At 41.4% G+C, this 26,585-nt stretch overlaps 2 long non-coding RNA genes across 2 annotated transcripts in view; one reads left to right on the top strand and one right to left on the bottom strand.

The window, feature by feature from the left end:
- Positions 1 to 480: 480 nt before the first annotated feature.
- LOC107986720 (uncharacterized) lies at positions 481 to 15,207 on the top strand. The gene is made up of 3 exons (XR_001744994.2): positions 481 to 564; positions 14,895 to 15,008; positions 15,115 to 15,207. It is a non-coding gene; the product is annotated as an uncharacterized LOC107986720 (long non-coding RNA).
- LOC105375536 (uncharacterized) overlaps positions 3,462 to 26,585 on the bottom strand; it is a 68,680-nt gene continuing 45,556 nt past the window's right edge. Inside the window, exons 4-5 of the long non-coding RNA XR_002956518.2 lie at positions 9,182 to 9,204; positions 3,462 to 3,500 (exon numbers count right to left, since the gene is read on the bottom strand). This is a non-coding gene — a long non-coding RNA (uncharacterized LOC105375536). The remainder of the gene's footprint in view (positions 3,501 to 9,181; positions 9,205 to 26,585) is intronic.

Here is a 26,585-nt window from a genome sequence, read left to right as displayed (position 1 = left end):
TAATCAGGAGGCTGAAGCAGGAGGATCAATTGAGCCCAGGAGGTTAAGTCTGCAGTGAGCCATGTTCAAGCCACTGCACTCCAACCTGAGCAACAGGAAAAAAAATACACACACACACACACACACACACACACACACACAGAAATGATAAAGGAATTTAAACATTTCTCTAAAAAAAATAAAGGAAAGTTATATAAAAATTAAAAGAAAATGAGGAACTAAAAAGCCATAAGGCATGTAGAAAACATAGCAAAATAACAGAAGTCCCTGCTTATCAGTAATTACTTTAAATACAAATGGATTAAAGTCTCTAATCAAAAGACAGAGATTAAAAGAATGGATAAAAACACATGATCCAACTATATGCTGTCCATAAGAGACTCACTTTAGATCCAAAGATACACGTAGAATGAAAGTGAGAAAATGGAAAAAGATATTCCATGAAAATATTAACCAAAAGAGGATGTCTCTATTGCCTAGAATCTGACTCAGTTGGCATCACTAAATTTTTGTTGAATGAATGAAAGAAATATCCAAACTCACCTGGATTGAAGAATAAATGAGGTACATTTTTCTCATTATATTAAAAGAGAAAGTAAGAATAAAAGGAAAGAGAGTAGGAGAGACAGAAGGATGGAGGGAAGAATAAAGAGAAAGATAGATGAATGATAATCCATTTGAATTGACAATATGATTTAGTAGAACTGGAAAAATTGGTGGCAGTGTGTTTAGTTTAAACTTACTGAAAAAAAATCTGGCAGCATGTATACTTAGCTGTTAGTAATATCCATGTTTTTTGACTCCAAAATGCAAGTCGTAGACCTTGTTTTCTTTTTTTTTTTTTTTTTCTGGGGATTGAGTCTTGCTCTGTCACTCAGGCTGGAGTGCAGTGGCACGATCTCGGCTCACTGCAAGCTCCGCCTCCTGGGCCCACACCGTTCTCCTGCCTCAGCCTCCCAAGTAGCTGGGACTACAGGTGCCTGCCACCACGCCCAGCTAATTTTTTTTTTTTTTTTTTTTTGTATTTTTAGTAGAGACGGGGGTTTCACCATGTTAGCCAGGATGGTCTCGATCTTCTGACCTCGTGATCTGCCCTCCTCGGCCTCCCAAAGTGTTGGGATTACAGGCGTGAGCCACCACGCCTGGCTGACCTTGTTTTCTAAATACTATTCTCCAACAAAAGAAATTGTGGTTCCTTGGAAAAATAGTGGATTCCAGAGTTGGGAGAGGTTAAGACACAAATTATGCTAAAAAGTGATGAAGTGCCCCCCCATAAAAAAAAGGATGGGGATCTTGTCGAAAGGGCACGAGAGCCAAACTGAAAGAGCCCCCTATGGCCAAGGCTGAAACAATTTGAGCAACAAAATAAATAAGAATACTACTGGATTAAGCATAGTACTATATTATGATAGTACTAGATTAAAACCCAATGGTTAAATAAAAATCTTTGAGTCCATACAGTATAAATAAATTGAGGAGAAGGTACTTTACTTTACAGAAGAATTCCAATTGTAAAATGTAAGGAATAAGGAAATAGAAAATCTCGGTTAGAATATCGCAGTAATAATAACTGCAAGCAGTATCCACTGATGGATGCTAAAACTGATGGGCAAAAGTTTAAGGAGAAGCAGGATATTTGTATGCTCTCAAAGTATCCCCCCCACAAAAAATATTATTTACAAAGAGAAAAGTAGTAACTTTACGGTGGAAAAAAATTTCTTAGTTTTGATAATTATACTCTGGTTATAAGATGTTAACATTAAGGGAAGTTGGGTGAAGAATATACAGGAATTCTCTGTATATTTTTGCAACTTTTTGGTAAGTCTAAAATTTTATTTAAAATTTTTTGAATTGTACTTTCAAAAAGCTTTTTTGGCTGGGCACAGTGGTTCATGCCTGTAATCCCAGCACTTTGGGAGGCCGAGGCAGGTGGATCACCTGAGGCCAGGAGTTCGAGACCAGCCTGGCCAACATGGTGAGACCCTGTCTCTACTAAAAATACAAAAATTAGCTGAACGTGGTGCACACCTGTAGTCCCAGCTACTTGGGAGGCTGAGGCAAGAGAATCGCTTGAACCCAGGAGGCAGAGGTTTCAGTGAGCTGAGAACACACCATTGCACTCCAGCCTGGGCAATAAAGCGAGACTCCATCTCAAAAAAAAAAAAAAAGTTTGTTTTTTTTAAATATGTTTCAGGAAAAAAAAATTGACACAGGGTCTTGTTCTATCACCCAGTCCGGAGGTCAGTGGTGCAATCATGGCTCAATGGCAGCCTCAACCTCCTGGGCTCAAGCAATCCTCCCACCTCAGCCTCTCAAATACCTGGCACTACAGGTGCATGCCACCACACCCAGCTAATTCTTTTACTTTTTGTGGAGCCAGGGTCTCATTATATTGCCCATGTTGGTATTTAAGACTATTTTAAGACAACATAGGCCAAACACAGTGACTCACGCCTGTTATCCCAGCACTTTGGGAGCACTGTGGGAGGATCACTTGAGCCCATGAATTGGAGACCAGCCTGGGAAACAAAGTGAGACCCCGTCTCCACAAGAAAATTAAAAATTAGCTGGGCATGTTAGTGTGTGCCTGTGATTCCAGCTACTCAGGAGACTGACGTGGGAGGATCGCTTGAGCCTGGGAGGTTGAGGCTGCAGTGAACTGTGTTTGGGCCACCGTACTCTAGGCTGGGCAACAGAGATCCTGTCTCAAAAAATTTTTTAAAAATGAATATACGAGTTCATGTATAGAATGCTGTCAGTTATCAAAAGAAAAATGCAAATGAACAAAAAGACTGGAGGAACTATGCCCAAATATTAACATTTGTTGCTTATGAGAGATGAGACTATGGTTGGTTTTCTTTTCTACACTTTCTGAATTTTCCGTCACGAATGCTTACCATTTCATAATAATATGCAAAAAAAAAAACCAAAAAACGTTAAAAGAGCTAAAGGAGGGCGGGGCATGGTGGATTATGCCTGTAATCCTAGCACTTTGGGAGGCCAAGGCAGGTGGATTGCTTGAGCTCAGGAGTTTGAGACCAGCCTGGGCAATATGGTGAAACCCCGTCTCTAGAAAAAAAATACAAACATTACCTGGGTGTGGTGGTGCATGCCTGTAGTTTCAACTACTTGTTGGGGCTGAGGCAGGAGGATTGCTTAAACCTGGGAGGTCGAAGCTGCAATGGGCCAATATCACACCACTGCACTCCAGCCTGGGGGACAAGGTGAGATTCTTATTCAAGAAAAAAGACAAGGCCATGCATGGTGGCTCACACCTGTAATCCCAGCACTTTGTGAGGCCAAGGCAAGAGAATCTCTTGAGTCCAGGAGTTTGAGACCAGCCTGGGCAACATAGGGAGACCCTATCATTACAAAATAAACAAATTAGCCAGGCATAGTGGTACGTACCTGTGATTTCAGCTATTCAAGAGGCTGAGGTGGGAGATCACTTGAGCCTGGGAGGTCGAGGCTGCACTCCAGCCTGGGTGATCGAGCAAGACCTTGACTCAAAAAAAAAAAAAAAGTTGAAGAAAAAGCAAGAGGGACAAAAATGGGAAGAGAGAACATTCCAGGGTGAGGACATAACATGAGGACACAAATGTGGCATTGGAAGATGGCATAGACTTAAAAAGAGTAAGGCTGGGCACAGTGGCTCATGCCTGTAATCCCAGCACTTTGGGAGGCCAAGGCGGGCAGATCACGAGGTCAGGAGATCGAAACCATCCTGGCTAACACGATGAAACCCCGTCTTTACTAAAAATACAAAAAAATTAGCCAGGCGTGGTGGCAGGCCCCTGTAGTCCCAGCTACTCAGGAGGCTGAGGCAGGAGAATGGCGTGAACCAGGGAGGCGGAGCTTGCAGTGAGCTGAGACCGTGCCACTGCACTCCAGCCTGGGCGACAGAGTGAGACTCAGTCTCAAAAAAAAAGAAAGAAAGAATAAGATGTTCGCTATAGCTAGAGCATAAGTGGCATTTTGGGGAAGATTTGAGAGAGAGAGAGAGAAAGAGAGAGAGATCAGGCTGGTGAGATAGGGCCTTGTGGGCCATTGTGAATTTTGGCTTTACCCTCAGATAATGGGGAACTATTAAAGGGACATGGCAGGGTAATGATGTCAGATCCATAGTTTAGAGAGTTTCCTCGGGCAGCCAAACGGACGGTGGACTAAAATAGACTAAAAAAGGTGGAAGGAGGTAAGTCAGGAGAGCACCAGGGTGGTCCATATGACAAATAAGGAGAGATTGATTTGATCAGGGACAGTGGGAATGGTGAAAAAGATCCTTTTAGGTTGGACCCAGGACCAGGAGGACCAGCAAGAGCTATAAGTGCTCCCACGCCAGTCAGTTTCATTTATATTTCCAGGGAAAATGGCCCATATCAGACTCCTAGAAGGCTGGTGCCCTCAGGATTTTAGAGTTAATCCCAGAGCCAGATAAATGGCCAGCCAGACCAGGGCAACAAGTCTGATGGGCGATGTAGGGGCTGGGTCACTCTGGGTCTCCAACCACAACTTGACAGGTCAGCTGGGCAACAGTGGAGCAGAACCCAGGAAGAGCCAGGCCCTCGGGCAGTGTGTAAATCCCACACAGGGATACAGGAACCCAGAGGCAGAGTGATCCCTGAGAGATAAGAGGTCCACCTTTGCCAACAAGGGGCTGGAGCTCTCGGTAAACAAGCAGCTCTGCTGCTGTGAGGCAAATGGCCCTGGGTGCTCTCTGTAGCTGGTTCACAGGCAGTTCAATTCTGGATGGAGAGGCTGGCATAAGTATGCCATAAGTATGGCATAAGTAGAAGAGAAAAAAAAGATGACAAAGTCATTACCACATTAAAAATCAAAAGTGGATACATTGAGTTAGACTTAAGGGAAAGTAAAGATTAACTGACACAAATTTGATTATACACAGCCTTTTAAAAATACCCCTATGATGTAAAAATTGAGGTTTGTCTATTTTGTGTTTTCTCTGCTTTGGATCTCTTCCCTTCTTTGCCCGTAGCTTGTGGTGGGAGACCAGCAGGGGTAAAAACATGACTTTCTTTCCTAGTGTCACGAGACCTACATTTTTTGTTGTTGTTGTTTTTTTGTTTTTGTTTTCCTCAAGTGCCTTGTCAATTAGTGTGAATTCACTAAGGCAATTATGCTCGCAGGATGGGCTCAATCCACCTACTGAGAATCATCAGGGGCTTCTCTGAGTCAGCAGGCTGGGCTGCAGCCCAGGAATCTGCATTCCCAACAAGCTCTTCCAGGTGTTAAATATGCCTCTAAAACATGAGAATCCCTTTTAGGAATTCTGGTGGAAGCAAAATTGAAAGAGATAAACTCTGGTTCCAAGCTGCTTATTTACTAAGCCCCAAGATGCAGGCATCCAGATGACCTGGGCTCTTACTTTGTGCTTGGGAATATATCAAAGATGCATTGACTTTGCATTGTGGTGTCCTCATCACCTAGTCTCCTTCAGCCTCTGGTTTTATCATTCTCTCCAACAAGCTCAGACATCTGTCTTAATTTATCCTTCGTGAGTCCTTGGTGTTGATAATTGTTTATCCCTCTAATATGATCTAGCATGATCTCTTGTTTCTGCAACAGTCTTTATGTGGGGATGTTTTGGGATAGAGGTAGTAAGCCCATTCCAATCCCTGGGTGCTAAATTGTAGCCATGTGGTCTGCTTCAAGCTATCTGTATAGGTTGTAAATTTTATTAGGGAAAAGAAGGCATGTCCACAATGATCTTTCTTGTGAAAAATAATCACCTAATCTCTCCCCCTCCTTCATTAATCTTAAGAAGTCTCCTATTCCATTTCACAATCAGCATAAATATCAGGGAAGATGAAAGTGAAGAAAAGCTCAGTGACCTCATTTTGAGATCACAATTTGTCTCTAGCACAACAAGCGGGCCCCCCCAGCTCTTCTCCAACTGCAGATAACAGTTTGCCATATTACCAAACCCTCACTGGCGCCAACACCCCAAGGAGGGTAGGCAACTGGGTGATGTATGGACAATAGAAAGAAGAGGAAATGAGTCCAAATCATCTACTGAACTATGACCACCCCAAAATGTTGTGGGTTTTTTGTTTTGTTTTGTTTTTTGTTTTTTGTCAAGTGTTCTGCAAAGGACAAGTGCCTATTTCTATGATTTTTTAAATGGTTTTTTTAAGGAAAAAAAAGTTTTGAATTTAAAACAAACCATTCCAAGTGATGTAGCTATTTTCTCACTAAAAATTAAATACCTGAGAAAGCATCATCAAAAAAAACTCAAAGGGGTGATTGGTGTTATGTTTTTCTAATTATTATTATTATTCTGAAGGAGCCCCAACCAATTTAAATCTTGTGAAAATACTACGTGTCTGGCTTTCTTCCCACCTCCTGCCACAGTCCCCTCACACTAAGGATTTCACCATTGCCCTGGATGCACAGGAACTAGCCTGGCCTGCCAGGACCTTTCCCTCACCTTTCCTGTAGTGCTTGCTCCCATGTCATCTGGACAAGTGGCCTCCAGGATGAGTCACTCTATTTATACCTGGGCTGGTGCAGGTACAATGCAGAATCTGTTTCTGAAATATCACAGTCTCAAAAAGAGGGCCTTTAGATACTTGCTATAAATTTTCTCGTGGCAAAAGACAAATGTGTGATCTCCATCTTGTTTCTAGGCTACACCAAGTAGCAGGCCTGGCTGAAACACACAACAGTTTACAGTGCTTAGAGCCTTTCTGCTCAAAGTGTGGTCCCCAGGCCCCTGGGATCTTGTTAGAAATGCAGAATGACAGGCTCGCTCCAGGCCTTCTGAATCAGAACCTGAATATTACTGTGCTCCAGATGGTTTGTATACACAGAAAGTGTGAGAAGCACTGGCCTAGGATTTGCATTAACTTTCAGAGTTCTTAGAGGTCACAGGTGTATAAGGAATCCAAAAGCCTTTCTGCCTTCACTCGTGCAATTCATTATTCTCTTTGCCTGAAATGTCTTCCATTATGTCTTACCAACCTAGAGCTCCTACTCATCCTTCAAGGGCCACCCCAAAGATCATATATCCATTGAAATTTTTCTGATACCCTCAGTCAAAACTAATTATTTCTTCTTCTCTGCTCCCTTGATATTTTACACCTACATCCAGTATATGTCAATATTACACAGCCTTCATATCATAACTACGTGCTCATTTGTCTGTGTCCCACAAAAGTGTGTTATTCAAGGACAAAGAACATTGATGTCCTTGTTCATCTGTGTTCTTTAGCACCCGGCCCAAGACTTGGAAGAGAAACTCAATACATATTACTTGAAAACTATCTTTTCATCTTTCCTTCCATTGTTTTAAAGTCACATAATAATAAACCTTATGCTGCCTAAAGATTTTAACCTGCTATATTTTAAAAACTATTCTATTTTTAATATGCTAATTTACAGCAATAATTCAAAAGCACTTCTGTTGGCCTGGAAACAATCTCTGAGTATACATTGGATTGGGATAACTATTTCTGCCCCCTTTCCCTCACACATACACCCCTTTCACAAAACATGACATATTCATTGCAGATGAAAAGCCAGACTACTGGATAAAACAGATATTTTTAGGAGGGATTGTGGGTGGAATAATAAAATAAACTATTATATTTATTCATTTATAGTAAGCCTTTCTCAGTACCTCTGATATTTTCTTACAGATATATAACTGATATTACTACATCAATTGTGACTAAAAGATGAGAAAATAGTAAGGAGAAGAAAGTAAAGTAGAAGTTAAATAGTGATCCAACTGTCGCAATAATTAATAGCTGTCTGCATTCTTAAAATAAACACAACAGAAAACATGTAGGTAATAATGGGCACTTAACAGAGTTAGCATAACCCCTCCAGTTAACAATTAACTCTTGGGAGACTGTAATCATGTACCAGCCTGCATGAGATAACACATAGTTTGCAAGTAATATACAAGGGCAACTCTCCCTTCTCTGTGCTGATAGCAATGCACACATGGCTGATTGTCACTGCTCTGTGGTGACCAGCAAGCAATGCACAGCTGTAAGCAGCTCATGGACCATAAGACTCATCCAAATGACCCACAAATTTGACTTAGCATTATTCACACTTGTTGCTAACATATGCTTCTCCCAGTGGTCATTAAGAGAAGCTATTTAGCTGCACTTTGTGCTTTCTACAGTGCAATAGTCCTTGCAATATTTATCAATAGGTTAAATATGAATACCCTTTGACTGAGGAATTCCACATCTATACCACAGAAAATAGAGGCAAATGCACAAAAATGTCAGTTGCAGTTTTTTGTTTTTTGTTTTTTTGAGACAGAGTCTCACTCTGTCACCAGGCTGGAGTGAAGTGGCGTGATCTCAGTTCACTGCAACCTCCGTCTTGTTGGTTCAAGTGATTCTCCTGCCTCAGCCTCCCAAGTGGCTGGGACTACAGGCCCACACCACCAGGTCCAGCTAATTTTTGTATTTTTAGTAGAGACAGGGTTTCACCATGTTGACCAGGATGCTCTCAATCTCTTGACCTCATGATCTGCCCGCCTTGGCCTCCCAAAGTGCTGGGATTACAGGTGTGAGCCACAGTGTCTGGCCATTAGTTGCAGTTTTTTATAGAAAAAGAAAGCAATCTACATGTTCATCAATGGGAAAATTAGTATATGAGTCATACTACATCCATACCCTAGATATTATAGAACTACATTAGTTATATATAAAAAAACAGAGGTATATGTATATGTACTGACATGGGAAAATGTCAGTAATATAGCATTTTACAAATCAAGCAGCGGGCCAGGCATGGTGGCTCACGCCTGTAATCCCAGCACTTTGGGAGGCCAAGGCGGGCAGAACACCTGAGGTCAGGAGTTTGAGACCAGCCTGGCCAACATGATGAAACCCCATGTCTATTAAAAATGCAAAAATCAGCCAGGCATGGTGGTGGGCACCTGTAATCCCAGCTACTTGGAAGGCTGAGGGAGGAGAATCGCTTGAACTCTGGGAGGCAGAGGTTGCAGTGAGCCAAGATTGCGCCACTGCGCTCCAGCCTGGGCGGCAGAGTGAGACTCCATCAAAAAAAGAAAAGCAGCAAAATATTCTATTGTATAGTGGAGTATGAACCTACTAGAAATTGTACAGGAACAAACATGGAGACACATACGTATACATGTCTTTGTATATGCATAGCAAAAATTTAGAAAGCTACTCACCAAATTATTCATTGTGATAAGATCTGAGGAAAGAATGAAAGAAGAATAAGAAATCACTTTGAAATCCCTTTCCCTTTTTTAAACAGATACTTTTATATTGTTTAAATTTTGTTAAATTTTTATTTTGACAAAATTTCAGACTTATACTACGTTACGAAAATACTGTGAGGAGGCCAGCTGCAGTGGCTCATGCCTGTAGTCCCAGCACTTTGGAAGGCTGACACAGGCGGATCACGAAGTCAGGACTTTGAGACCAGCCTGGCCAACATGGTGAAAATCTGTCTCTACTAAAAATACAAAAATTAGCTGGGCATGGTGGCACGCGCCTGTAATCCCAGCTACTCAGGAGGCTGAGGCAGGAGAACTGCTTGAACCCGGGAGGCAGAGGTTGCAGTGAGCCCAGATCGCATCGCTGCACTCCAGCCCGGATGACAGAGCAAGACTCTGTCTTGGGAGGAAAAAAAAAAATAGTACAAGGAATTACTTTGTAACCTCTACCTAGATTCCCCAAAAGTTAACATCTGTCACATTTGTAATGGATGTTTTATCTTTCCCTCTTTCTGTTTTTTTCCCCTCTGCAATCTCTGCATGTGTGCGTGTGTGTGTGTATGTGTGTGTGTGTAAATTTTAAAAACTGTTTGAGGGTAAGTTGCAGATATGATCCCCCTTATCTCTAAATACTTCACCATGTATTCTCTAAACACATTCTGTTACATAACCATAGGATAATACTAAAATCAGGATAATTAAGACATTAACACTGATAAGACACTATTAGCTAATCTATAGAACATATTTAAATTTCACTAACTGCCCCAATAATGACTTTTATAGAAAAAGAAAATCCCAAGTAGTGAATCGAATGTAGTTGTCAGGTTTCTTTAGTCTCCTCTAATTAGAAACAGTTTCTTACTTAGTCTTTCCTTGTTTTTCATGACCTTGATATTTCTGATTAATACAGTCCAGATATTTGTGTCCTTCAATTTGGGTTTGTCTGATATTTCTTCATGATTCAAGTCAGGTTACCATTTTTGGCAATAAATTCACAGAACTGTTGTTGTATTCTCAATGTTTCACGTCAGGAGGCACATGATATCCCATTACAACTGATGTTAAACTTTCAACACTACTGGCTGGCAAGGTGGCATGCACCTGTAATCCCAGCTACTCAAAGGCTGACGCAGGAGGATTCCTTGAGCCCAAGAGTTACAGACCAGCTTAGGCAACATAGCAAGACCCCTGCCTCATAAAAAAAAAAAAAAAGAACAAAAAATACTTTGAACACTGGTTAAAGGGATGTCTGCCAAGTTTTTCTGCTGTTAATTTGCTACTTTTCCCTTTGAAGTGGTGATTTTCTGATTCCATCATTCCTTCTACATTAATTAGTTGGAATTTTACTATCAAAGAAAGCTTTCCCTTTTCCCCATTCATTCATTCTTTCATTCATTCATGTCAGTATGGATTCTTTATCCTCATTATTTACTTTGATGCAGAATTATTTATTGTGATGTAGAATCCATATTGCTATGGATTCTTTATCCTCATCATGTATTTTGATACACAAAATTGCCCCAGATTTGGCCAGTGGGGGACCCGGTGGAGCTGGCTCCCACATCCTTTAGACATGTCCCCTCTGTCTTTGAGCACTTCCTTACTTTCTGACACAAAGATGCTCTACACCAGCGGTCCTCAACCCTTTTGGCACCAGGGACTGGTTTCGTGGAAGACAGTTTTTCCGTGGACCCAGGGGTGAAGGATGGTTTTGGAATGATTCAAGTGCATTACATTTATTGTGCACTCCAACTTTTTTGGCACCAGGGACTGGTTTTTGGTCCTCAACCTTTTTGGCACTGGGGACTTGTTTTGTGGGAGACAATTTTTCCATGGACCCGGGGGGTGGAGGATGGTTTCAGAATGATTCAAGTGCATTACACTTATTGTGTACTTTATTTTTATTTTTATCACATTGTAATAATCAGGCATCAGATTCTCACAAAGAGCAGGCAACCTAGATTCCTTGCACAGTACCAGTCTGTGGCCTGGAGGTTGGAACCCCTGCTCTACACTCATTTTGTACTTTCACAGCCCCAACCTTGCAGTCTGCCATTTCTCCAAGGATATTTGGTTCTTTTTAATGAAGAATGGCACTTGGAAGTTAATTGCTACTGGCTTTCATTCTTTTAGGCCTTTTTTTTTTTCTCTTTTTGACAGAGTCTTGCTCTGTCCCAGTCTGGAGTGCACTGGCATGACCTTGTCTCACTGCAACCTCTACCTCGTGGGTTCAAGCTGTTCTCCAGCCTCAGCTTCCTGAATAAACACGATTTCCCCATGTTGGCCAGGCTGGTCTTGAACTCCTGACCTCAAGTGATCCGCCCACCTTGGCCTCCTGAAGTGCTGGGATTACAGGTGTGAGCCACCATGCCGGACCTTTTTTTTTTTTTTTTTTGAGACAGAATCTAGCTCTGTCACCAGGCTGGTGTCCAGTGGCAGGATCTCGGCTCACTGCAACCTCCGCCTCTTGGGTTCAAGCGATTCTCGTGCCTCAGCCTTCCGAGTAGCTGGGATTACAGGTGCACGCCACCATGCCCACCTAATTTTTGTATTTTTAGTAGAGACGGTGTTTCCCCATGTAGGCCAGGCTGGTCTTGAACTCCTGACCTCAAGAGATCTGCCACCTCGGCCTCCCAAAGTGCTGGGATTACAGGCATGAGCCATCACGCCCAGTCTGCTTTTAGGCCTTCTTAACAGGGTTAGGAAATATATACACAAATGCATACATACGTTCCCCCACCACACACACACACACACACACACACACACACACACACTTAAATTTATTTCTATACCATATTTATGTAAATATGTTTAAAAAAACCCATAAATTCATACCCATACCTTCGATTCTAATCCAATACCACTGGTTCACTTTAGCCTTCCACTTTCCCTATTTATAACTAATATATTTAACACTGGGACACATGACTCCCATTAATCACAATGTATTTACTTTGTTGCTGAATCTTAGGATACACAAAAAGTAGATTTAGAGTTGTTTGAATGTTTTATAAGAATGTATGACATTTGCAATTTGAAAGTCGATTTAAAAACAAAGAATAACATAGATCTGCTTCTGGAAGTATTGATTGGTACACGTCCTTTCTTTGAGCATTTCCTTACTTTCTGACACAAGGCAATTAGATAACGAACTTTAAATATGTGAAGTTCACTTGATGCTCAATTTTACTTCTCAGAATTTAGTCTAAGAGTAGAATGATATCTGTTTACAAAAATTTAGCCACAAGAACGATCATCACATTATTATTTAAAATAATAACTTAGAAACTACCTAAGTACTCAGAAATGAGTACTTTGTTAAATAAATTTTATTCAAGTGATGGACAACAAAGAAGTGGTAGAGTATAGTGGTTAAGAGCAGATTTTAAATCCAAGCAGACTAGATTTGAATCCTAGCTCTACCAATTATGACATTGGGTAATTTACTCATCTTCTGTGTTCTTCAGTTACCTTGTGTGTAACATGAAGCTGATAATAGTACCTTCCTTATAGGGTAGCCATGAGGATTAAATGAGGCCAAGGGACCTCGCCCAGCCAGATGCCTTCTTAAACATAAATTTTGGAGGACCATTTAAGACTAAAAATTTGGCCGAGTGCAGTGGCTCACACCTGTAATCCCAGCACTTTGGGAGGAAGAGGTGGGCGGATCTCTTGCGGCTAGGAGTTTGATACTAGCCTGGCCAACATAGGAAACACTGTCTGTACTAAAAATACAAAAATTACCTGGGTGTGGTAGCGGTTCCCTGTAATCCCAGCTACTTGGGAGGCTGAGGCAGGAGAAATGGCTTGAACCCGGGAGGTGGAGCCTGCAGTGAGCCTAGATCGCACTACTGCACTCCAGACTGGGAGACAGTGAGACTCTGTCTTAAAAAAAAAAAAAAAAGGCTAAAAATTTATCATCACTTTTTAATTTCACTCATTCAAAAAGCTGACTTTTCATGATACTTTTCCTGTAATTAGTCTATGTGCCATCAGGTGGCAGTAGTGCCTTAATCATGGCCAGTTTCTTTGCCTAGTAACAATTTACCGTAGGAAGATATTCTAGTATGTATGTTTTTATTCTTTGCAATGTTTTAATTCTTTATTAAAATATTTGAATTTAATTGAATATGATAGATATTTCTTATATAAAGTCATATTGGCTGGGCGTGGTAACTCACACCTGTAATCCTAGCACTTTGGGAGGCCAAGGCGGGCAGACTGCCTGGGCTCAGGTGTTCAAGACCAGCCTAGGCAACACGGTGAAACCCCGTCTCTACTAAAATACAACAAATTAGCTGGTCATGGCAGCGTGCACCTGTAGTCCTAGCTACTGAGGGGGCTGAGGCACGAGAATTGCTTGAACCCAGAAGGCTGAGGTTGCAGTGAGCTGAGATCACGCCACTGCACTCCAGCCTGGGCAACACATCAAGACTCATCTCCAAAAGATAAAAATAAAAAACAAACAAACAAAAACAGTCATGCATTGCTTAACAATGGGTATATGTTCTGAGAACTGTGTCGTTAGGCAATTTTGTAGTTGTACAAACATCACAGAGTGTACTTACACAAATCTAGATAGTATAGCTTACTGCACACCTAGGCTGTATGGTGTACCCTATCGCTCCTAGGCTACAAATGTGTATAACATGTTACTGTGATGAAAACTGTAAACAACTGTAACACAGTGATAAATATTTATGTAGCTAAACATAGAAAAAGTAATATATTGTGCTACCATGTTAGGACAGCTGGGATGTCACTGGGTGTTAGAAGCTGTCATTATATGTGGTCCATCACTGACAGAAACATTGTTATGAGGTACATATTGTATCAAGATTTGTTATAAACAAAGAAAACAGAAAAATCCATCTAAAAAAGAGAACCAACATAGTAAAGTTAGAGACAGCCTACTCGATTAAGAGTTACTTAAAGGAATAACATAAATTTGTCTTTCTAGTATTCCTGATTAGCTAAAAAGTTCTGGGCTGCTTCCTATGACTCTCCTAAAATGTCATTTTTATATAGGTAAAAAAGAAGAACAAGAAAAGTTATGTTTGTTAGATTTTTCCTAATTGCAGGATTTTTTAAAATTCAAGTTTTAGAGCTAGGTGGGACCTTAGTGATTTAGCCAAAGCCCCAATATTACAGTTAAAGAAATTGGTATTCCAAGAGCTGGTGTTTTGCCCACAGTCCCTTGAAGATGCAGAACCAAACCCCAAGTTTTATAACAACCCTTGACAAGTGAGCTCAAACAGGACACACATGTTGACTTGTGAAATTTGTGGTCACTTTATAAAGCTGAGTTTACAAAGCCAGTTCTTCACAAACTAAGCAGTTCCTCTTAGTCACTATACCTGCTGTTCAGATAGGTTAAAGAATGAAACCTAGGCAGTAGCTAAGAGACCCGTCAGTTAGGCATTTTCCAAGTAAGAATGATTATGAGGACATACGTTACAATTTCAGTTTTTAAGAAATGTCCTTGCTAAACTGGTCACCAAAACAAATGTTTAAATAATCCACAGGGGTAAAATAAAAATAAACAGGTCCACAGTATAGATAAAATTTTATTAAGTATAAATATTTACCTTTCTCATGTTGAATTTCAAATTGTATGATGTGTAATCTAATTATGATATCCTTTATTTCATGTCAAAAGGGAAACTTCCAACTTCCTCTCCCTCTGGCTTCACAACTACAGAGACCACCTTCCATACCCTTAGACTCAAGTTTTCTGTTTAACAACCTGCTTCTGTTATCACAGGAAAAGATGGTAAGAGACTCCCGGGCATTCCCAGACCATTTCTTTCAGTTCTCTAAGCTTTTAGTTGCTCTCAGTTTTTTTGAAAATGAGGAACTTCGTATTCTACAACCCACAGCTCCTTTAAGTCATCATTCCTTGGATCCAAGGTTGCTACACATACATTTCTTCTAGAAACTCAGAAAAAAAGAGAAGAGAGTGGAGAACATGAGGAGGCCTCAGAAAAAAGAAGAGTGGAGAACATGAGGAGGCCTCAAGTTCAATGTGAAAATGCAGTCAGGAAAAGGATTCTCTAGCAGCCTCCTCTTTGTCATCCCCAACTCTTCATAATAAGCCACCCATCCATGGTAACAAGTTTTTCTTTCAAATGCTCTTATTGAAATTTGCGGTCCAACTGGTTCTTAATAAAGGACAGCTTTAACTTCTTGGTGAATCACTACCTTTGCTTTCTTTAAGTTGATTGGTATACCCTCTGACTTTCAGGTGTATGTGTAGGTGTGAGGTGTATGTGTAGGGGTGTGTGTGTGTTACATTTTAAATAATGTATGTATATACAGCAAAAGATGGAGAAAAACTTTATTAAATCTCAGGACTGGAGATAACCTTTCAAGGTTAAAAATAATAAAAGAGGCTGGGCGTGGTGGCTCACGCCTGTAATCCCAGCACTTTGGGAGGCCGAGGCAGGCAGATCATGAGGTCAGGAGATCAAGACCATCATAGCTAACACGGTGAAACTCTCTACTAAAAATACAAAAATTTACATTTTTTTGTATTTTGTATTTTTTTGTATTTTTTTTTTGTATTTTGTATTTTTTGTATTTATTTTGTATTTGTAACAAAAAATTAGCTGGGCTTGGTGGCACATGCCTGTAATCCCAGCTACTTGGGAGGCTGAGGCAGGAGAATCACTTGAACCCATGAGGCGGAGGTTGCAGTGAGCCGAGATCGCACCACTGCACTCCAGCCTGGGTGACAGGGCAAGACTCCGTCTCAAAAAATATTAATAATAATAAAAGAAAACAAAAGATTGAAAAGATGGACTGCAGCAAATATTTAAACTTCTGTGTATCAAAAAGATATGTGTAGGTTTGAAATATAAGCAATCATTTGAGGGAAATAGGAAAACAAACATTAGGGACTAAGTACTAAATAAGCTCATACAAATGAGTAAAATTAAAAACAATTCTAAATTCTCAATAGTAATGGACAAAGAATATGAATACACAATGCATATGTGATTAAATGATCAACTTCACTAATGATCAAATAACATAATTAAAACTACAAATATATAATACTTTGCCTACCTGCCAATGTAACAAAGATGTATTAAAATGTGAATGCCCCAAACTGAAGGTGTACTGAAACAGTTTCTTTCATGTACTGCTGGTGGTAGGAATAAAAACTAATATGTCCTTTCTTAATAGCAATTTCGTAATGTGTTTAAAGAGGCTTTGCAATTGCATCAAAACAAAAACTGACAAAAAAAACTGACCAAAAAAACTGACAAATGGGAACTAATTAAACTGAAGAGCTTCTGCACAGCAAAACTATCAACAGGGTAAACAAGCAACCTACAGAATGTGAGAAAATATCCTCAAACTATGCATCTGACAAAGGACTAATGTCTAGAATCTATAAGGAACTTGCACAATTCAACAAGCAAAAAACGAGCAACCCCATTAAAAAATGGGCAAAAGACATGGACAGTTCTCAAAAGAAGACATACAAGCAGTCAACAAACGTGAAAAAATGCTCAGCATCACTAATGATCAGAGAAATGTGAATCAAGACCACAGTGAGATACCATCTCACACAAGTCAAAATGGCAATTACTAAAAGGTCCAAAAAGTAACAGATACTGGTGAGGCTGCAGAAAAAAAGAGAAACCCTTATACACTGCTGGTGGGAATGTAATTAGATCAGCCACTGTGGAAAGCAGTTTGGAGATTTCTCAAAGATCCTAAAACAGAACTACCATTGTATCCAGCAATCCCATTACTGGGTATATATACAAAGGAAAATAAATAATTCTACCCAAAAGACATATGTACTCATAGGTTTATTGCAACACTACTTGCAATAGCAAAGACATGGAATCAACCTAGGTGCCCATCAATGATGGTTTGCATAAAGAAAATATGGTACATGTATACCATGGAATGCTAGGCAGCCATAAAAAAGAACAAAATTATGTCCTTTGTAGCAACATGCATGAAGCTAGAAGCCATCATCCTATGTGATTTAACGCAAGAACAGAAAACCAAATACTGCATGTTCTCACTTATAAGTGAGAGCATTGGGCACACATGGACATAAAGATGGAAATAATAGACGGTGGGGACTTCTAGAAGTTGGGGAGAGGGGAAGAGGGGAACACCTGAAAAACTACCTATTCAGTATTATGCTCCCTTCCTCGGTGACAGGATCATTCACATCCCCAAACCTCAGTGTCATGCAATATACCCATGTAACAAACCTGTACATGTACCCCCTAATTCTAAAATAAAACTTTGATTTTTTTTAGATTCATAGGGGGTATGGGCACAGGTTTGTTACATGGGTATATTGTTTGACACTTGAAATTATTTAAAAAGACACTTGAAATTATTTAAAATGTTCTACTTTCTGATCCTGTAATTTCGGGGCGGGGGTTGTTTATTTGTTTGTTTGGGTTTATTTATTTATTTATTTGAGACACAGTCTCACTCTGTTGCCCAGGCTGGAGTGCAGTGGCACTATCTCGGCTCACTGCAACCTCTGCCTCCCAGGTTCAAGTGGTTCTCCTGCCTCAGCCTCCTGAGTAGCTGGGACTACAGGTGCATGCCATCACACCCAGCCAATTTTTGTATTTTTAGTAGAGACAGGGTTTCATCATTTGGCCAGGCTGGTCTTGAACTCCTGACCTCAAGTGATCCACCCGCCTCGGCCTCCCAAAGTGCTGGGATTACAGGCATGAGCTACCACGCCTGGCCTAATTTCAGTTTTAATAATCTGTACTAAAGAAATGACTCGAAGGAGGCACAAATATTTTAATATTAAGATAATCAATGCAGCATTCTTTTTTTTTTTGAGACAGAGTCACTCTGTCGCCCAGACTGGAGTGCAGTGGCATGATCTCGGCTCACTGCAACCTCCACCTCCCGGGTCCAAGTGATTCTCCTGTCTCAGCCTCCTGAGTAGCTGGGATTACAGGTGCGTGCCACCACGCCCCGCTAATTTTTGTATTTTTTAGTAGAGATGGGGTTTCACCATGTTGGTCAGGCAGGTCTCGAACTCCTGACCTCATGATCCGCCCACCTCGGCCTCCCAAATTGCTGGGATTACAGGCATGAGCCACTGTACCCAGCCAATGCAGCATTTTTATGCAAGTGAAAAGTTTGACGTTAACTTAACATCTAACACTTGGGGTCTGTTTAGACAAATTTCATAAGTAAAACACTAGTTAGCCATTTGAAATGATAGGCATAATAATTTTTTAAATAAGAAAAATGTATATTGTATAATATTACGTGTAAAAAGCAGGGCATAACTTTTTTATAATGCAGGGGGAAACAGACTGGAAGAAAGTGTTTCCAAAGGTTAGCAGTGTTTCTAACTGGGAGATGGGATATCAACTTATTTAATTTCTGCTTCTTTATACTTTTCTGCACTTTTAAAACTTTCTGGCCAGATGCGGTGGCTCACATCTGTAATCCCAACACTTTGGGAGGCCGAGGTGGGTGGATCACTTGAGTTCAGGAGTTTGAGACCAGCTGGCCAACATGGTGAAACCCTGTCTCTACTAAAAATACAAAAATTAGCCGGGTGTGGTGACACGCACGAGAATCACTTGAACCCAGGAGGCAGAGGTTGCAGTGAGTTGAGATGGTACCACTGCACTCCAGCCTGGGTGACAGAGTGGGACTCCATCTCAAAAAACAAACAAACAAACAAACAAACAAAAACAAAAAAACAAAAACAAAAAAAACTTTCTATAGTCATCATGTATTACTTTTCTAATTAGAATAAAAGAGAAATTAAAATAAGGAATAAAAGGAGAAAAGCCAAAGAACAAAATATGTATTAATGAAACTACTGTGATTTCTCCATCTTCCTGAAAAAAAAAAAATTCTTTAGAAGACCCTACAAAGCCAGCCTCTAGGTAGTCCTCCTTACCCTGATGTTTACAGAGAGGTGTTGGTTTATTGCAATATTAATGTGGTAAATTGAGACATGCCCTAGTTCCTGCCACATGACTTTATAGGGTGCTGAGTTCTCTGCAATAACATGCATAATAATCTTTTTAGCAATCCCTGCAATTAGGGGGTTGCCAAACTGGAATTGTTACTTTATTTGAGACAGGTACACACACATATGCACGCACACACAATACTGGAGATGCAGAACCAACTAGCCCCTTGAAGAAAAACAATGTAATTAGATCTCCTTTAGATGAAAAGATATTCTTCAACAACCTAAATATAAAAAGATTTTGTACTTATTTTTCCTTTGAAAAATACAGATCACCAATTTCTACCACATATTAGTGAGAGGTCAGGTAGGTGACACCACATCTCAGTGGTATCATAGGTGCTTTGGACCTTAGAATGAAAAATTAAATTGGCCACTTGTAGAACACAGAGACCCACTCAAGCTTTGGAGTTGAAGAAGCCACGAAGGAAGTTCTCAGGTTGCACCGTGAGAACCAATTTTCTCAAGCAGAACTTAATTACAACTGTACAACTATGAAAACATTTATGGAGAATGCTAACCTTACACCCACTGCTGGGCTTCTATTAAGCTGATTTCTTCGAACTGAATTGTTTCCATCCAGTGTGCACATGTGTATATGTGAGAGAGACAGACAGAGAGAGACAGAGAGAAAGTGACTTGGAATATCTACTGTTTCTGCTCAGTATCAACAATTTCCCTCCCCTCATCTTGTTTATAAAGCAGAATATTTTCTCTTTGCCTGTCAAGAATTCAGACAGAATAATATCTTAGGACCTAGTACTATTTGCCTCCCCCCATCCTGTTTATAAAGCAGAATATTTTCTCTTTGCCTGTCAAGAATTCAAACCGAGTAATATCTTAGCACCTAGTACAAGTCCAACTCTTGCTTTAAATATAAGAAAACCACTTTTGGCCAGGCGTAGTGTCTCACACCTGTAATTCTAGCACTCTGGGAGGCCAAGGTGGGCGGATCATAAGGTCAGGAGTTTGAGACCAGCCTGATTAACATGGTGAAACCCTGTCTGTACTAAAAATACAACAAAATTAGCTGGGTGTGGTGGCGCACACCTCTAATCCCAGCTACTCAGGAGGCTGAGGCAGGAGAATCGCTTGAACTGGGGAGGTGGAGGTTGCAGTGAGCAGAGATCATGCCACTGCACTTCAGTCTGGGTGACAGAGCGAGACTTCATCTCAAAAAAAATTTTTTTTTCCAAAGTTATACACCTTACTAGTGATAGTGGATTTACTGGAACCCAGTTGTATTCCACTGTTCCATTGCCTTAGCTGTGTGGTACACTTCCTGGCTTTTCCCAAAGATAAAACTAAGATATGAATATTTAGATTGTGCCTTTGAATGCAAAGAAAAATAGAAAAGTAAGTTAATGAACTAAATGATTCTGTAGGGGGAAAAAAATAGCCATTTGTGATGTGAAGGACTCTCGCCCTTCTGGGGTGACCTTGGAGCTGATTCAGAGATGGTCCCTGCACCAAGGATTGTGATCCATGCAAATGAGAAGGTCACACCCACATAGGGAGAGGAAAGAAAAGGAGTCATGACCAGGTAGATACCAGCATCAAGGACAATCAGATGATTTAGGAGAATGGGTGGGAATGGAGGAGACAGGGGTTAAACATTCTGTTTCAGCCCATTATTTGAAAATAGGGTGGCGGGTCTTTGGAAGAACCATGGGAGGGAAGTGAATAAGCACCAGTTAACCTTTCCAGCCTAACACACACACACACACACACACACACACACACACACACACACACACACACACACAAAGTACACACCCCCAGGGCACCTCTTAGACTCACCGCCTTAGAACAGTACTGATACACAAACATGCCCTTTGGCCTCTTTCCTTTTGACCATGCAATTGCTTCTACTTTACTCCTCTGACCAGGATAATTTTTACTTGTCCTTAAACACTTAATTCAAGCAACACTTCTCCTGGACACTGTCTCTGAGCTCCCTCATTCCCCCTGCTTTCACCCAGGCTAGATTACATACTTCTCTTCTGTGTTCCTGAAACAACTTAGACGTACCTTACTAAAGTGCTTTTCACACTGCATGGCAGTTGTCAGTTCATTGGTCCGTCAGCCACGAAGGGACCAGCAGCTGTTGGAGAGGCAGGGACCTTGTCTTTCTTCTTTATATCCCAGTACAGAACACTGGGCTTGTCACATATTATTGAGTAAATGAATCCATTCATTCAACCTGTGACCACTGAGCATCTACTCGGCTAGGCCCTGGGGATATAGCAGCGGCGACATACAAATGGTCCCTGCCCTCAAGAATCTCCTGTTCTGTTAAGGGACACTGGCCTACTCCAAAAGCTTCTCTGAAGAAATTGTTTAGCTTAATGGATGAATGTCAGATCAGTCTGACATATAAATAAATAAATGTTTATTCTGCAGCACTGTCCTACTTCAAATGTGAAAATAAACCTGAGGAGAAGCATTTACCGTGACTTGGGTTTTCTTAGATAAGCTAAATCTTTTTTTTTTTTTTTTTTTTTTGAGATGGAGTCTCACACTGTCACCCAGGCTGGAGTGCAGTGGCGCCATCTCGGCTCACTGCAAACTCCGCCTCCTGGGTTCACGCCATTCTCCTGCCTCAGCCTCCCGAATAGCTGGGACTACAGGCGCCCGCCACCACGCCCGGCTATTTTTTTGTATTTTTAGTAGAGACAGGGTTTCACCGTGTTAGCCAGGATGGTCTCGATCTCCTCACCTTGTGATCTGCCCGCCTCGGCCTCCCAAAGTGCTGGGATTACAAGTGTGAGCCAGCGCGCCCAGCCTGATAAGCTAAATCTTAAAAGGAGTGCTCACAGAGAGATGGCACAGATAAACTGGCCTGAGGCTGAATATTAATCTTTCACAGCAACGCCTAACAAGATTAGCATTCGATATATATAGTAGAATAAAGACACTCACTGCCAAACCTTACTTTATTGAACTCTGCTAATTTTGGATTTTTAAATTACTCACTTAGAAACTTGGCTGACCTGTACTTTGACATTGCATATAGAGAATTTGGTTTTCAGCGAAAATTAATAATAAAAATGAATCCTTAAATAGCTCTTGCAAGTTTGTCTTTCATATATTTTATTTTATTTGATAATGAGACTGTAACTACTGCCACCTTGGGAATCTTTACCTGTGAGTTTTAGCTCTTCTCAATAGGAGATACTGAAGAAAATGAAGTTTGATGAACCATTGTCCTCTCTGAACTGAGTTGGCCATCACTTGGGAAGGGCACTCAGTTCAGGTGATGATCCCACTATTGACTTCATCCTCACACCATTCCCAAGGATCCCAGGGGTTTCAGTTTGAAATATTATGGGTTTTTTAATTTATTTACTTACTTATTTTTATTTATTTATTTATTTATTTATTTATTTAGAGACTGAGCCTCACTCTGATGCCCAGGCTGGAGTGCAGTGGCACCATCTCAGCTCACTGCAACCTCTGCTTCCCTGGTTTAAGCAATTCTCCTGCCTCAGCCTCCTGAGTAGCTGGGATTACAGGCATGCACCACCATGCCCAGCTAATTTTTGTGTTTTTAGTAGAGATCGGTTTTCACCATGTTGCCCAGGCTGGTCTCGAACGCCCGGCTCAAGCGATCCACCCACCTCAGCCTCCCAAAGTGCTGGAATTACAGGTGTGAGCCACAGCGCCCAGCCTGTCTTTTTTTTTTAAAAAAAAAATGTAGGCTTATGCCTCTAAGAATAGAGCTAAAGAATCTTAATTGACTACTTCTTTTATTTCACCATGTTCAAATCTTTAGAGAAAAGTGAAACTTAGCAAAATATTTAAATGGAATTTTCAGCTGAGACCCCAAGGCTCTAGATATTAGATACCAAAATGAGTTTTGAGACAAACCATCCTAAAGGAGTCTTAAAGTAGATACCTGAAAACTGGTAACATGGCTCATAACAACCCTTGACCTATATTGAGAGCATAAAGGAAGCAAATTGTTTTTAAAAGGAGAAGAATTTGTGGTACATGTACCTGCAGAATATGATTCTGTGATTGTCTCTCTGCCCACCTCAGGGGAGTAGTGGAGGGCCCTTCTCCCTTTACATCAAGTGAGTGGATTGGTGCCTGACTCCCATTTGGAAAGTCCTGAAGCCAGAGACTTCAGGCTGGCATTACATGCAGAAGCAGGATAAAGACAAGGGAGTGAAGGGCAGGTGGCCTGTGCTCCTACAGCGTCAGAGCAAAGGATGTGTAAGTGTTTTTAAGGCTCACTGAGCCCTCTCAGTGGAGAGCCAGATTGCCATTTTAAATCCTGCCCCAGGGAACCACAAGAAAGAATGAGGGGACATCAGAAGACAAGAGTCTATGGCGCAAACTTCTGAAAAACCAGAGAGAGAATTGACCAACCTGTCGAATCACTACTTTCACCCACATCACAGGAAATGCAGCCAAATGTTCCAGGGACAGCCTCTAGAGAACCACCCAAGAAGAGTCCCAGGAGAGAAAAAGTCAGCTTTAAACCCCTGCCAGACCCTGAGTTGTGAAGCCATTTTCCAAGCATACCAGTAAAATAAGAACTTTCCTGCAGTACCATGCCAAGCCCTATTGGAGCCCGAGGCAACAGGGAAATCTATGCCCCTATATACACACTTACCAAAATACCCTCCCATATTGTGAACCAAGTGGAAAAGTTAATAAAGGCTCTCCAATAAAAAACCGTGATTACACATAATGTCCCAGCTTGCCCAATCTGTTCACATGCCGTCGTAAATCTTCATAAACCCACCCATCAAGGGACACCATGGCCCTATAGCCCGTGAACCTCAGGCTGATCAGAAACACTGATCCCATTGAGCAATAACTCAAGGTCATAGAACAAACAAAAACAGACAGCCTTTCTTTGTTTACATTTTTGGTATTCAGTTCATCCTGGATGTTTTGCATTTAGACTTAAAGAAAAATATTGCAGGGCCAGGAGCAGTGGCTCATTCCTGTAATCCCAGCACTTTGGGAGACCGAGGGGGGTGATCACTTGAGCCCAGGAATTAGAGACCAGCCTGGGCAACATAGTGAAACCCTATCTCCACAAAAAAAAATACAAAAAAAAATTTAGCTGGGCATGATGGTGCATGCCTGTAGTCCCAGCTGCTCAGGAGGCTTACCTGGGAGGATTGCTTGAGCCTGAGAGGTCGAGACTACAGTGAGCAGTGATTGTGCCACTGCCCTCCAGCCTGGGTGACAGAGCAAGACCCTGTCTCAAAAAAAAATTGCATTAATCTTTATCTTGATTCTGAGCCCCCTTAAATTTTGCATGAGGTGAATGCTTTACTGCTGGCCCTACTTTCCTGCTGTTTTCCTTCTTTATTCATCATCTTCAAGCTCACAGAACCCAGGAACTGTGCTTAACAAGGAGGAAAGTGGAATCTAAAATAGACAAACTCACAGAAGCAGAAAGTAGAATGGTGGTTGCCTGCAGCTGGGGGAGGGGAAATGGGGAGATATTGATCAAGGGGTACAAAGTTTCACTTATGCAGGATGAATACGCTCTGTAGACCTAATACACAGCAATGTGACTATAGTTAACATACTATCTTGTATACTCGAAATTTGCTAAGAAGGGAGATTTTAAGTGTTCTCACCACACACTCACACAAATAAAATAGTAACTATGTGAGATGATAGGTATTAATTAGCTTGATTGTGATGATTATTTCACAACGTATACATATATCAAAACAGCAACCTGTACATCTTAAATACATACAATTTTTGTTTGTCAATTATACATCGATAAAGATGGGGGGAAGACTGGGTGTGGTGGCTCACACCTGTAATACCAGCACTTTGGGAGGCCAATGTGAGCAGATCACTTGAGGTCAGGAGTTTGCGACCAGCCTAGCCAACATGGAGAAACCCCGTCTCTACTAAAAATACAAAAACTAGCTGGGCATGGTCGTGCTCACTTGTAATCCCAGCCACTTGGGAGGCTAAGGCAGGAGAATCACTTGAACCCAGGAGGTAGAGGTTGCAGTGAGCTGAGATCACACCACTGCACTCCAGCCTGGGTGACAGAGTAAGACTCTGTTCTCAAAAAAAAAAAAAAGATGGGGGGAGCTTGGAGGAGAGCCATAGTAACTTCATTGGTTAGATGGGCAATAAGACACTCTAGTTAAGTACTGTATAAACAGAAAAGTGCTATAGAATGTTGACAATGATCATCCTCGTTGTGCTGTCCTTGCTGTTGTTCTGTTTCTGCAGGCCAAGCATCAGGGCTACCAAGGGCATTCATGTTGGTTATTCTCTGCATACCATGGTGTGCCTTTAATATTGTAGTTTTTGTGAATGGTGGCCCCTGGAATTGGGCAGCCAAAGGTAGTTGCCCTGTCAAAATTTTATTTCAAGGACAATCAATAAACCTTAAAAGTTTCTGGTGTGTTGTGGTTTTTTTTTGTTTTTTTTTTTCTTGAGACAGAGTCTTGCTGTGTCACCCAGGCTGGAGTGTAGTGGCGTGATCTCGGCTCACTGCAACCTCTACCTCCCGGGTTCAAGCAATTCTCCTGCCTCAGCCTCCTGAGTAGCTGGGATTACAGGCGCGCACCACCACGCCAAGCTAATTTTTGTATTTTTAGTAGAGATGGGGTTTCACCATGTTGGTCAGGCTGGTCTCGAACTCCTGACCTTGTGATCCGCCCACCTCAGCCTCCCAAAGTGTTGGGATTACAGGGGTGAGCTACCATGCCCAGCCAAGTTTCTGGTTTTTTTTTTTTTTTTTTTTTTTGGAGACAGAGTCTCGCTCTGTCACCCAGGCTGGAGTGCAGTGGTGCGATCTTGGCTCACTGCAAGCTCTGCCTCCTGGGTTCATGCCATTCTCCTGCCTCAGCCTCCCAAGTAGCTGGGACTACAGGCGCCCACCAGCACGCCCGGCTAATTTTTTGTATTTTTAGTGGAGACAAGGTTTCGCCGTGTTAGCCAGGATGGTCTCAATCTCCTGACCTCATGTTCCGCCCGTGTCGGCCTCCCAAGTGCTGGGATTACAGGTGTGAGCCACCGCGCCCGGACTTTTCTTTTTTTTTTTTTTTTTTAAGAAAAGGTCTCGCTTTGTTCACTCTGTTGCCCAGGCTGGAGTGCAGTAATGATCATAGCTCACTGCAGCCTCCAATTCCTGGATACAAATGATCTTCCTGCTTCAGCCTCCTGAATGGCTAGGACTACAGGTGCCTGCCAACTCACCTGGCTGATTTTTAACTGTTTTGTAGAGACAGGATCTCACTTTGTTGCCCTTGCTAGTCTCAAATTCTGGGCTTCAACTGATCCTCCCACCTTAGCCTCCTGAGTAGCTAGGACTACAGACGCATGCCACTGTACTCAACTAATATTTTAATTGTTTCT

The sequence above is a fragment of the Homo sapiens genome, chromosome 7 (genome assembly GCF_000001405.40).
Source record: "Homo sapiens chromosome 7, GRCh38.p14 Primary Assembly".
Lineage (NCBI taxonomy): Eukaryota > Metazoa > Chordata > Mammalia > Primates > Hominidae > Homo > Homo sapiens.
Note: the sequence above shows the minus strand (reverse complement) of the source record. Positions and strands in the feature narration are given on the sequence as shown.